The sequence below is a fragment of the Homo sapiens genome, chromosome 17 (assembly GCF_000001405.40).
Source record: "Homo sapiens chromosome 17, GRCh38.p14 Primary Assembly".
Lineage (NCBI taxonomy): Eukaryota > Metazoa > Chordata > Mammalia > Primates > Hominidae > Homo > Homo sapiens.
Genome location: NC_000017.11, coordinates 15,764,666 through 15,777,230, shown reverse-complemented (window position 1 = coordinate 15,777,230; position 12,565 = coordinate 15,764,666). Strand labels below are relative to the sequence as shown.

Below are 12,565 nucleotides of genomic sequence, written 5' to 3'. Positions count from 1 at the left end.
TCAACTTAAAAGGCAATGCTTTTTAGTGAGTGCAACATGAAGGACATAAGAAAAGCTATCACATATTGCCAGGAAGATATTTATTACCTTTTTTCTGATAATAATACATTAAAAACTCAAAATTACCTAAAAATAGAAAATTTGTTGTATGAATTATGGTATATCCATATGAAGAAATACTATGAAGTCATCAAAAAGCAACAAACATGAAATGGTCACAATATATTATGTGGATAAAACAGATTATAAGACTGCATGGTTTGATCCCAACATTGTTAACAAGTATGAAAAAAAGACAAAGATCAATTGATTGGGCATTCTGTGAGCCAGAACTTTCAAAAACTATTTTTTGAGAAGTACTATTGATATGCACAAAATAAGATGGTAGGCCAGACACTGGGTTCATATTTTCTTCTTTCTTTAAGTAATTAAAATTTGGCTGGGCGCAGTGGTTCACATCTGTAATCCCAGCACTTTAGGAAGCCAAGGCAAGTGAGCTGCTTGAGGACAGAAATTTGACACCAGCCTGGCCAACATGGTGAAACCTCATCTCTACTCTTAAAAATTACAAAAATTATCTGGGGATGGTGGTGCGTGGCTGTTGTCCCAGCTACTCAGGAGGCTGAGGCACGAGAATTCTTTGAACCCAGGAGGTAGAAATTGCAGGGAGCGCAGACCATGCCACGGCACTCCAGCCTGAGTGACAAAGCAAAACTCTGTCTCAAAACAAAAAAATTAAAATTAAAATTAAAATTGAAATTAAAAAAGATAATCACTCCTGCCAGACCCAACTCTCTTGGAGATAACAATAAACTCTAGACCAAAACTAAAACAAAACAAGCAAATAAAAATCCTTTAGGCAAGGAAGAGTAAAGAAAAGTAATACAGATCCGGACAGGAGTTGACTCTTGGGAAAAAGGTAATGGCACAAAGTGAGTTATGTATTTTTACTGACTTTTAGCCTGAGTACACATCAAAGTTGGCACCACACAGGGTATATAAAGCTCCAATAGAAAACTCAGTCTTTCTGGCCTGAAGAACCACAGCGTAGAGTTCAGGGAAATCAGAGCTGCAGAAAAGTAAGGTGGGGATTCCTGGAAAGGAGAGATTCCCAAATTCTGTAAATAAAGCCTGTTCAAATATCTGGCTGATCTCTGAACTACCACCCAAGACAAAATTTGTAGTTTAAGTCCAACCAACTTACTTGTTTGGTAGAAGGGAGGAAGAAAGAAAGGAAAGAAGGGGACAGAGTTGTGTTAGTCTGTTTGCATCACAATAAAGGAATACCTGAAGCTGGGTAATTTATAAAAAACTGTGGTTTCATTTGCTCACAGTTTTGCAGAGTGCACAGGAAGCATAGTGCCAGCATCTGCTTCTCGTAAGGGCCTCAGGAAGCTTACACTCGTGGCCAAAGTCAAAGGGGGAGCAGGCACATCACCTGGTCACAGCAGGAGCAAGAGATGCACAGGGGAGGTGCCATGCTCTTTTAAAAAACCAGATCTCATAGGAACTCAGAGCGAGAAACTCACTTTGAATCAAGGCGATGGTGCTAAGTCATTCATGAGGGATCTGCCCTGTGATCCAATCACCTCCCATCAGGCCCCACCTCCAACATTGGGAAACACATGAGATTTGGAGGGGACAAATATCCAAACCATATCAGGAAGGAAAGGAGAAAGGGAAGGAGGAAGGGAGGGAGGAAAGAAGAGAGGGAGGAAGGAAAGAACCTTCTCAGAGGAATGTAACTGAACCTAGAGCCTCCACAACGTAACATTCAATATTTTTGATACTGATATCAAGAATCCAACCCCAAATTACTCCATATACAAAGAAACAAGAAAATGTGATCCCTTTTCAAGAAAAAAGACTATCCACAGAATCCAAACCCAGATGACCTAAATGCTGAAATTAGCAGACAAAGATTTTAAAGCTCACATACATGAAAGAAAATAGGTTTACAATAATGTAAAAATCAGAGATTGCAGTAGAGGAAAACTATAACAATGAACTGTAAACTCTAGAACTAAAAAATGCAATGTCTAAATAAAAAATTCATCACTAGGCTTAACTGCAGAATGAAGATAACAGAAGAAGAGACAGTGAACTTGAAAAAAGATCAATATTATTGACCCTAAAGAAGAGAGAAAAAAGATACTAGAAAAAAAATTGTCTCAGAGACCCACAGAACCATATCAAAAGGTCCAACATATACCTATTATACCTAATTGGAATCCCAGAAGAAGAAAAGAGAGGGGATAAGACAAAATACATGTGGACAAATACTGTAGATCTTCATAGAGATTTGTATTACACCAACATACATATGTCAATATTTAATAAATATACACTTAAAATTCACAAATATACACAAAATTCAACAAATATTCACTTGGGGAGCTCATTGTGCATAAAATTGATGTCAGAAGAAAACTGTAAAGAGATCATTGAAGTCCAATAAATGATATATATGTTTAAGTATTCAGAAGGAAATATTTATTGGTGTCTTCAATTTACTCTGAAATTCATTCCCCCCAAAAGGAGGATTAATAATGGATAGAAGAATGGATAGGAGGATGGATATTTGATAAAGCAAGTGTAGTAAGTAATGTTAATGGCAGAATCTATGTGGTTAAAGGCCGAATCTATCTAGGTTTGCAATAATGTAAAAATCAGAAATTGCAGTAGAGGAAAACTATAGCAATGAACTATAAACTCTAGAACTAAAAAAAATGCAATGTCTAAATTAAAAAATTCATCAATAGGTTTAACTGCAGAATGAAGATAACAGAAGAAGAGACAGTGAACTTGAAAAAAGATCAGTATTATTGAATTTAAAGAAGAGAGAAAAAAGATACTTGAAAAAAGATAGTCTCAGAGACCCACAGAACCATATCAAAAGGTCCAACATATATCTATTATACCTAATTGGAATCCCAGAAGAAAAAAAGAGAGGGGATAAGACAAAACATATGTGGACAAATATTGTAGATATTCATAGAGATTTGTATTACACTGACATACATTTGTCAATATTTAATAAATATATACTTAAAATTCACAGATATAATATATTTTTGTCCTAATGGCAAAAATGAATTCAAATACATTTACTAAAGTATAATATACACAGGTATCCTGTTATTCTACTGCTCAGTAATTTATCACAAAGAGGACACATGCTTGGAGCTACCACACAGTCCAAGAAAATGAAATAAAAATAACAATCTGGAAATCCCTCTCCTGAAGGTCTGCTCCCTAACCACTGCCCACCTGTCTTGTCAAAGCAAAGAGTCACCTGGATTTTAGCAGCCCCAATTAGTGTTGCTTGTTTCATAAATGGATGCATGGAGGGCCATTCAGTAGGAATGGTTTTGTGTGTGGCTTCTTTGGCCCAGCATTACATTTGTGACACTCCTTCATGTGGTTTCATGAAGCAGTTCATTTCTATTCCCTGCTCGGTGGTGCTCTGAATGAATATGGCACATCTATTAATTCTACTGTTGATGGACATTGGTTTGTTTCCAGTTTGGGGCTGTTAGCAATAAAGCCACTACGAACATTCTTGTTAATTTCTTTTGGTACACATGTATATTTTAGTTAAGTACAGCCCTACAGATAAAATCGCTTGGTCATAGTAACTGCATGTGTTCAAATGCAGTGCATGTCACTGAAAATGTCAACTAGGAGGAAAAAGCTCAAGAGCTCTATTGTACAACATGTTGACTATAGTTAATAACAATGTGGTGGCCGGGTGCGGTGGCTCATGCCTGTAATCCCAGGCTCTGGGAGGCCGAGGCGGGTGGATCACGAGGTCAGGAGATCGAGACCATCCTGGCTAACACAGTGAAACCCCGTCTCTACTAAAAATACAAAAAATTAGCCAGGCGTGGTGGTGGGCTCCTGTAGTCCCAGCTACTCGGAAGGCTGAGGGAGGAGAATGGCGTGAACCTGGGAAGCGGAGCTTACAGTGAGCCGAGATTGTGACACTGCACTCCAACCTGGGAGACAGAGTGAGCCTCCGTCTCAAAAAAAAAAAAAAAAAAGTGGTAATATTTGAAATTGCTAAGACAGCAGATTTTAAATGTTCTCACCAAACACACACACAAAAATAAGTATTGATTGGCCAGGCACAGTGGCTCATGCCTGTAATCCCAGCACTTTGGGAGGCCGAGGTGGGTGCATCACGAGGTCAGAAGCTTGCCAAGATGGTGAAACCCCATCTCTACTAAAAATACAAAAATTAGTCGAGCGTGGTGGCAGGCGCCTGTTATCCCAGCCACTCAGGAGGCTGAGACAGGAGAATCGCTTGAACCTGGGAGGCAGAGGTTGCAGTGAGCCGAGATTGCACCATTGCACTCTAGCCTGGGTGACAGTGGGAGACTCCATCTAAAAATAAAAAAATTAAAAAAAAAATATAAGTATCTAAGCTAACTGATATGCTATGTCAGTTGATTTAGCCATTCTATAATGTATGTCTGTGGCTATATATATATACACAGATTTAACTATTCTACAAGGCGTGTCTCTGTGTGTGTATATATGTATAATGTGGTACACCACAAATACACACAATTTATCAATTAATTTTTTTAATTCCAAAGATTTTTTTGACTAATATACAACCCAACCACAAGTTTAAGAGCATTCTAATTAGATGTCCTTTCCAATACCTGATTTTGTCAGTCTTTCTTTTATATATTCTGGTTAGTGGGTAATGTTATTACATTTTTATTGATTTTGGTCTTCTAATTATTAAAATGCCTGAGACCATTTTCATATATGTTTATTGAAAATGTATATAATCAGGCTGGGCACGGTGGCTCATGCTTGCAATCCCAGCACTTTGGGAGGCCAAGGCGGGCAGATCACTTGAGGTCAGGAGTTTGAGACCAGCCTGGCTAACATCATGAAAACCTGTCTCTACTAAAAATACAAAAAAATTAGCCGGGCTTGCTGGTGGGAGCCTGTAATCCCAGCTACTCGGGAGGCTGAGGCGGGAGAATCGCTTGAAGCCTGGAGTCGGATGTTGCAGTGAGCCGAGAACTTACCATTGCACTCCCGCCTGGGCGACAAGAGCAAAGCTCTGTCTCAACAACCAACCAACCAACCAACCAACCAACCAACCAACCAACCAAACAAACAAACAAAAAGTAGCTTCTTGGTTGAAAGGCTGAGGTGGGAGAATCCACCCGGGAGGTGGATGTTGCAGTGAGCCGAGAACGCGCCACTGCTCCAGGCTGGGCGCAAGAGCGAAACTTCATCTCAAAAAACCAAGCCAAAACAAAACAAAACAAAAAAGAATATCTATATAATTGTATTTTCAGGGATCTGTGCAATATTTTTTTTTTTGAGACAGTCTAGTAGCTCTGTTGCCAGGCTGGAGTGCAGTGGTGCGATCTGGGCCCACTGCAACCTCCACCTCCCGAGTTCAAGCAATTCTCTTGCCTCAGCCTCCCGAATAGCTGGGATTACAGGCACGTGCCGCCATGCCCAGCTAATTATTTTATTTTTTTTTTTTTTTTGAGACGGAGTCTCACTCTGTCGCCCAGGCTAGAGTGCAATGGCACCATCTCGGCTCACTGCAAGCTCCGCTTCCCGGGTTCACGCCATTCTCTTGCCTCAGCCTCCCGAGTAGCTGGGACTATAGGGGCCCGCCACCACGCCCAGCTAAATTGTTTGTATTTTTAGCAGAGACGGGGTTTCTCCACGTTGGCCAGGTTGGTCTTGATCTCCTGACCTCATGATCCGCCCACCTCGGCCTCCCAAAATGCTGGGATTACAGTCATGAGCCACCATGCCTGGCCAAGACTACTCTTTAATTCCCAAGGCCAGCCACTGTGGTTTGAGCATGTGCAACAGCCTGTGCTCGGGTTGATGCCCCACATTCCCATGGTTATCCAAAAGAGGCCCTCAGACTCACAGTGGCCATTATTAATACTCTGAGGTTCAGCAGCGGTGGCAACTGAAAATCTACAAGCATCAGAAGAAAGAAGTGCTGCAGAGAGGAACCACAACCATCACAAACCTGGAAGGCTGGGTGGGCCACCCCCTGGATCCCATCGGCTGCCTGTTTCTCACTTTGACTGAGGCCTGCCTCCTGAATGATGACAGGTATCTAGAGACGAATGAAAGCAGACCCCCTGTGTACCAACATGTACCTGTGGCTGTAAGCTCCCCAAACAGCAGTGAGTCCTACTTGTCATTGGCCCTGGAGGCTGCATCGATGGGCCTGGGTCACAGAGGGTAATGCCTGAAGGCTCCTATGCACAGGACAAGGTGTGCCGTAATGAGGAGCAGCTCCTCAGCCAACTCCAAGAGCTGCAATTGGATGATGACCCAGTGCAAACACTCCAAAAATAGCGCATCTTGCTGCTGGAAGGGGGCCCTTTCAGGGATCTGGGAGAAGTCATCCACCGAGAGAGCGTTTCCATGCATACCTCTGCCAAGTATTTGTTCTCAGCTCTGCTGTCTCGTGATCCAGACCCTGCCTATAAATTAGGCTTACGTGTATAAGGTTACCTGTTTTAGAAAATTCAGGTTGTGCAGGCCACACATCCCTCACTCACTGTATGGTGTCTCTGGTGCCCAGCCATTATCCTCCCTGGTTCTCGCTTGGACACTTGGAATCACAGCGGTGGGAACTGGCCTCCACCATGCTGACTGCTGCCAAAGGAGACACTCTGAGGCTCTGAACAATTCTGGAAGCAATGCAGAAGCACATTCGTTCTTCCCCGCTCATCTTCAAACTGGCCCAAAATGCGTTCAAGATTGCTACTCCCACTAACAGTAGTACTGACAGCACCCTGCTCAACGTGGCGCTGGAAACTGGGTTACAGGTGATGCGATGACCTTATCATCCCTTAACTGGAGACGCGGAGAGATGGTACGATGGTTGGTGACCTGTGCTACAGAAGTGGGTATCGCCCACCTCCCTCTACTCCCACGGGAAAGGAGTTTCTATACCCTACTCTTGGGACAGGACAACGAATCCTTGGAGCTCTCATATTCCTATTCCTGATGGCCTAAGAAAGGATGCGGCTGCTGGTGGGAGAAGATAGCCTCTGTTCAGCCAGCCCAAGTTCTGTCCTCACTGCTTAAACCAACCACATGCGATGTCAGCAGCACTTTGACCCTCTCATCAGAGACATGTCTAAGAGAATGAATTTTCAGCTGCCAATACTCAAGTGTGCCCTTGGGAGGTAGTGGGCCTGGTGGTTTGGTCCCTGTCCCTGTCCATGCTTGTGAGAAACTCCAGACACCTTGGAGGCTCAGGACCCTTTCTAAAGCCCAAAGCCCCAGCACAAGACTCTACCCTGACAGGCCCCACTTCAGCTAGAACCCCTGGCAGATCTGCAACCCTGGCCTCGGGTTAAGCAAACCCCAGGATCTACTGCTCCATCCTTGTGAGGGGCTGAGAGCACCTGCAGAAACCTTCAACCCTCTGACCTGGGTAAGGAAGGGATAGGAAGAGACCCCAAACAAGGTTTGGCCATCTGGGATGCTTCTCTTGCCCTGGTTTGCCTCAGATCGTGTCAAGGTTGCTGAGGAGGAGGGAGAACTCATCTCTGCAGGCCAAGTTCAAACCCCACACGGTAATCTGGGCTGACCTGAATCAGGACTGAGATGGCCACGGCTGAGCTCAGGCTCTCCCCGACAGGTGTGTGGGCCTCAGGGAGCATCTTGCAGAGCTGGCACACACTCTTCACCCCTACTGAGGCTGCTAGTATTGTAGCTGCCACAGCCGTATCCCACACCACTATCCTGCGCCTCAGTCTTGACTATCCACAGCGGGAGGAACTGGCTAGCTGTGCTTGCACACTGGCCCTGCAGTGTGCTACGAAGCATCCACAGAGCTGTGCCCTGTCAGCCCTTACACTCTGTGAGAAAGACCACATTGCCTTTGAGGCAGCCTGCCAGATTGCCACCGAGGCTGCTGCCGGTGGCATGACCCATTCACAGCTGTTCACCATTGCCTGCTACGTGGAGCTCCGGGGCTACATGCTCCACGCCTTCCAGCTGGTCTCATTGGCCATGAGCCATCTTCACCTGGCTCATAACCAGGATACCCACCCAGCCATCAGTGATGTGCTCTGGGTTTGTGCCCTCAGCCACTCTCTGGGCAAGAATGAGCTGGCAGTTCTCATCCCCCTGGTGGTGAAGAGTGCGCACATTGCCATGGTGCTTTCAGACATCCTGTGTGCGAGGCTGCACGGTGACTGCACCTGGCCTGGCCGGCACCCCGGGCCACCACAGCTCTGGAAAGCTCATCTCCACTGACAGAGCTCCATGGCACCAGTTGCTGATGCAATGCTTACATCAACACCACACACTACACCTAACACACATTAGCCATTGCCAGTGTGGACAGTTCATTGAGTTTCTAAGCAAGGCTCGGGAGACCCTCCTGCTGCCTTAGGATGGCTACCTGCAATTTGCCCTGTTCATCAACAACCACAAACGATCTACAAAGGCAAGAAAAAGCTGATGCTGCTGGTTCGAGAGCCCTTTGGCTGAGAAAGCAGATAGCTCACTGGCCCGGCAGCCTGGGTCCCCAGGTAGTATCAGGTCAGGCCAAAAACACTGAAACATTTGTCCACCCTGGGAGGATCTGAGCACCTGTGGCTGAGGCCAAAGGACCACAGGGCTAAGGATGGGGAGAGTCCAACTCCAGTCGATATGCATACCTTGGCAAGCTTCTCACTACAGCCCACTGTTTGTGGAGAAGCTGGGCCTTGCAGATCCACCAGAAACCCCCACGATATGCCACCTTCTGCCCCTACGTCCTGAGTGTCCTGGGCATTGGCCCTGTCTCCCTTGGCAAACACAGAACACTGTTCCATCTCAGAGATTGCTTCACCAGAGAAACAGATGCATTTATGGTACTGTAAGTACTATAGTATATGTGTTGCCAATTACTGTAAAGTCGTAAGTATTTATAATTTTGGTTCTGATTTGCTGGGCACTTGAGGTAGCTGTGGGTGGGAGGGTATGCTTATTGTCCGAGGAGACTCACAACCATTTCTCAGGTTTCCCTTGCAGAGTGTGTGCCGTTACCAGCGGGATAGTGGGTGTGCCAAGGAGAAAAATGGCCAGTTAGAAAAAAATCCCAAGACTAGTCTATGCAGAATCTCTCGCCTACAGACAGGGCATTAATAGCCCAGTGGTGGGTGAGCGGCAGAGGCCAGGACTGGACTCAGACTTTTGCCTCACAAAGCTGTGAGGACTCTGAAGGTCCTGCCCCTGCCTCACACAGCCTCGCCAGGAGTCTGCTGAGCACCTTTGAAACAAGAGCAGGGAAAAGATGAAGGTCTGGGAAGCCACTGAGCTCACAATATTCATCTACACTGGTCACCTTTGTGTTAGAGAGTGTGTGTATGTGCATGACTGAGTACATGTGTCTATGTGCATAGATATATCTGCGCGTGCCTGTCTGTATGTGCACATTATATGTTGATGTGTACGTATGTCAGTTCTATGGCTGTGTACCTGTGTGGATATGTGCACACTGGAATGTGGGTCTCTGTGTGAGGATGTAACATTTGCACACATGTGAGGGTGCATATCTATGTGTAAATGCTGTCATGTTTTGCATGTCTAGTGTGTGTGTATCTGGGCACACAGGAGTGCATGTGTAGAGATATGTGTCTGTGTGTATGCTTGCTCTCCATGCATCTGTGTTTTTATATGTGTAACTGAGCATATTTCTACATGTAGGGATGACTGCGTGTCCATCTTTGAGGATCTGCATGAATGTGTCCTTTTTGCGAGATTTCTCTTCCCATTCGTCTTAAATCTCTCTCACTAGTTAAATGTTTGTTCCCCATTTCTGTGCCTCCTCTATTCATTCCCTCTCACCAAACAAGCTTCTAAGCACCGGTCTCCCTCTGCCATCAGATTGGCTGCTTTCACTGCACATTTCCCTTCTCGCCCCGTACTTGCTTTCTTCCCCTGCCTTTCTACGTCAAGCTTCCTCTGCCTGCTTTTGTCACAGTCTCATTGCATGCTGACTTGGAGGCTAGGGCTGGTCTGCACTTAGCCTCTCCCTTCTTAATTTCTAGCCCTAATGAGCAGCCCTGTCTTAGCCCTGGCTGACCTCCACAGTGTATCATCATGTTCCTGCTACCTTCCTGACCCCTATGCTCAGCCTGGAATTGTTGTAGGAGATAGCAAGGGCATTCAGAAGAGTCAGTTGGTTACCAGTGCCTTTGTGTTTACTCTTTTACATGTTAGATCCTGAGGTGGGGGTGGGCTTTGATAAGGAAGAGGTGGTATAGCTAGAATGCGAACTAAGAACTTCTCCATCTGCTTTACTTTTTCTTTTGTTGACAAACTGTCACCTTTTCTACTCCAAACTGAGCAAGAAGTTGTATTTGCCGTATGTAGCTACTCAAGTCCTACTGCCCAGCCAAGGGTCCCTACAATGTCTCAGCCCAGTTGGTTGGTTAAAAAGAGAGAGAGAGAGAGAGGGAGGTCACTCTCATTTTTGTATCGCAATTGTCCTTCTTTTTAGCAAGTGTGTGAACTCACAGTGCTTTCTATGAATAAACCATGGATCACATGAAAGAGCATTTTTCTTAAAGAAAACAAAAATTGTCTAAATTTTTGTTTAGACAATTCTGTTTAGACAATCCCCAGAGGGGACCAGCAAATACTTAATAGAAGATTATAGATTTCCTGTGAGTGCATATGGCTCGGGGTGACCTGATTCTATAAAGCAAATGTTATTGTCCTCCTCAAATTCATGCATTGGATTCTATGTGATGGTATTTGGGGGTGGGGCCTTGGAAGGTGATTCAGTTCATGAAGGCAGGGACCTCATGAATGGAATTGGTGTCCCTATCAAAGGGACTGCAGAGAGCTCCCTCACCCCTTCTGTCATGTAAAGACACAGTAAAAAGATGGCTGTCTATGAACCAGGAAGCCAGCCCTCTGCAGACACGGAATCTGCTGACCATTTGACCTTGGATTTTACCATCTCCAGAACTGTGAGAAATCAATTTTCTATGCTACACCTAGTCTATGGCATTCTGTTTTGACACCCAGATTAGCTAAAGTACCAGCATGTCAATTTGCACACATAATTCTTGGAAACTCTGATGCCAAATCCTTGATGGCAAAAGGTGATTGATCTGCCGGAGACATGAGCCTACATCATCCCTCTTTCCACAATAAACCAGAGAGTCAAAACAGGCAAGAGTGGGTCAAGGTCTTCTAAAAGCCATACCTGAAAAGTTTCCAATAACAGATGACTCGATGGTAATTCAGCCACACAAACAACCACAACAAAAGACACAACTATCCGAGATTTTCAGGATAGCCTCAAAAACACCATCTAACATTAGGGAGTTCAAAAAGGTGAGAAGTTTCAGAAATCAAACTTTATTTATATTTCATTTCATAAACTTGTAATTCTAACACTATTAATAAATGCTAGGGCAGGTGGTGGCATGGAGAGCCTGGAGCACAACAGCTGTCTTTAAAAGCTTTCCTTGCTGTACCCTTTGGAGCCACCTCCTGGTCCCCTCAACCCCTGCCCACCTGTTAAGAGCCCGTTCGGGGCAGCACATTAGGGGGCAAACAGCCTGGATGCCCAGTTGCAGACACACATCCATGCCTGGAGGAGAAGATTGCGTCTGAGAGCAGGAGGAGCTGCTGGAACTCTTCTTCCCAGCCTTGTTTTAATGCTCTTGAGCACCACCTGCACAGAGATATACCCCACCAGCATTAGCACAATAAACAGGCCCTGCAGCAGCAGGGCTGTGGTTCTAGTGAATGAGAGAAGCCTCTCTCCAGCGAGGTACAGGAGTCCAGTCTGAATGCCCTGGTCTCCGCCTCCATGTTTGCCACCATGCCCAGGACTAGGGGCAGCATGGGATCTGCTGGCTGGGGCTGTGCTTGTCACCCCCTCCCTCCCACTTCTCTCTCCAGCCACGTTTTCAGCTCCAGCATTAAGGCCAGTGGCTACAGTAGGTGCCATGATTTCAGGCAGCTCCTGGCTGGGCTGGTCCTTGGCTGGAGCTCCCTCCACCTCCAGCGCTCTCTCTGGAGGGGGCTCTTCCCATGCTGGCTTTGGCTCGACAGCCGGTGCCGCAAGTGCTGCTATGTCTGCGTATGGACCAGGAGCTGAAAAAGGAGAAAGGGTCACCAGCATCAGTCACTTTCCACTGGAATTTCCAAACACAGAGACAACCTCACTGAATTCAAAGGAATTCCACCCCAAAAGCACTGCCCCCGCAAAGTCTTCCAGGCTGCAGCCACCTCACCATGTGTCTGTGCCTCCATGGGCTCCCGAATCTCCTCCTGGACAAGGACAATGTACAGAGGCAGCCCCGATGGGATCTATGGTGTGGCCTGGCCAGCTAGGGCCTGCCCCGGGCTGTCCTGTGGTACCTGGGTGCGCCTTCTTACAAAGGGCCACAGGCGTCTGGGGTGAGGGATGAGCCTTCTTCGGCATTGTCGGAAAAGGCTCTCACTCCCTCCATTCCTGAAGCAGCAACCTCTCGAAGTGGGGAAGCAACACGAGAACATCTTGCTCTCTTGAGCGTCTCCCACAAAGTGAGCTGGT

General features: G+C 45.8%; 2 pseudogenes across 1 annotated transcript, besides 1 other annotated feature; one reads left to right on the top strand and one right to left on the bottom strand.

Annotated features, from left to right (window-relative positions):
- Nucleotides 5,805–8,711, top strand: ZSWIM5P1 (zinc finger SWIM-type containing 5 pseudogene 1; annotated as a pseudogene).
- Nucleotides 7,956–8,456: an enhancer, noted in NCBI's record as "H3K27ac hESC enhancer chr17:15672089-15672589 (GRCh37/hg19 assembly coordinates)". NCBI's record gives its function as "activates a minimal SCP1, AML or CMV promoter by ChIP-STARR-seq in primed H9 embryonic stem cells {active_cell/tissue: H9 hESC(primed)}" and the evidence as "EXISTENCE:reporter gene assay evidence [ECO:0000049][PMID:30033119]".
- Nucleotides 8,712–11,541: 2,830 nt separating the features above from the next.
- CDRT15P2 (CDRT15 pseudogene 2) lies at nucleotides 11,542–12,528 on the bottom strand (annotated as a pseudogene). Its single transcript, NR_033865.1, has 3 exons — nucleotides 12,264–12,528; nucleotides 11,975–12,123; nucleotides 11,542–11,698 (listed from the first exon to the last, which is right to left on the bottom strand). The product of NR_033865.1 is annotated as a CDRT15 pseudogene 2 (transcript).
- Nucleotides 12,529–12,565: the final 37 nt, after the last annotated feature.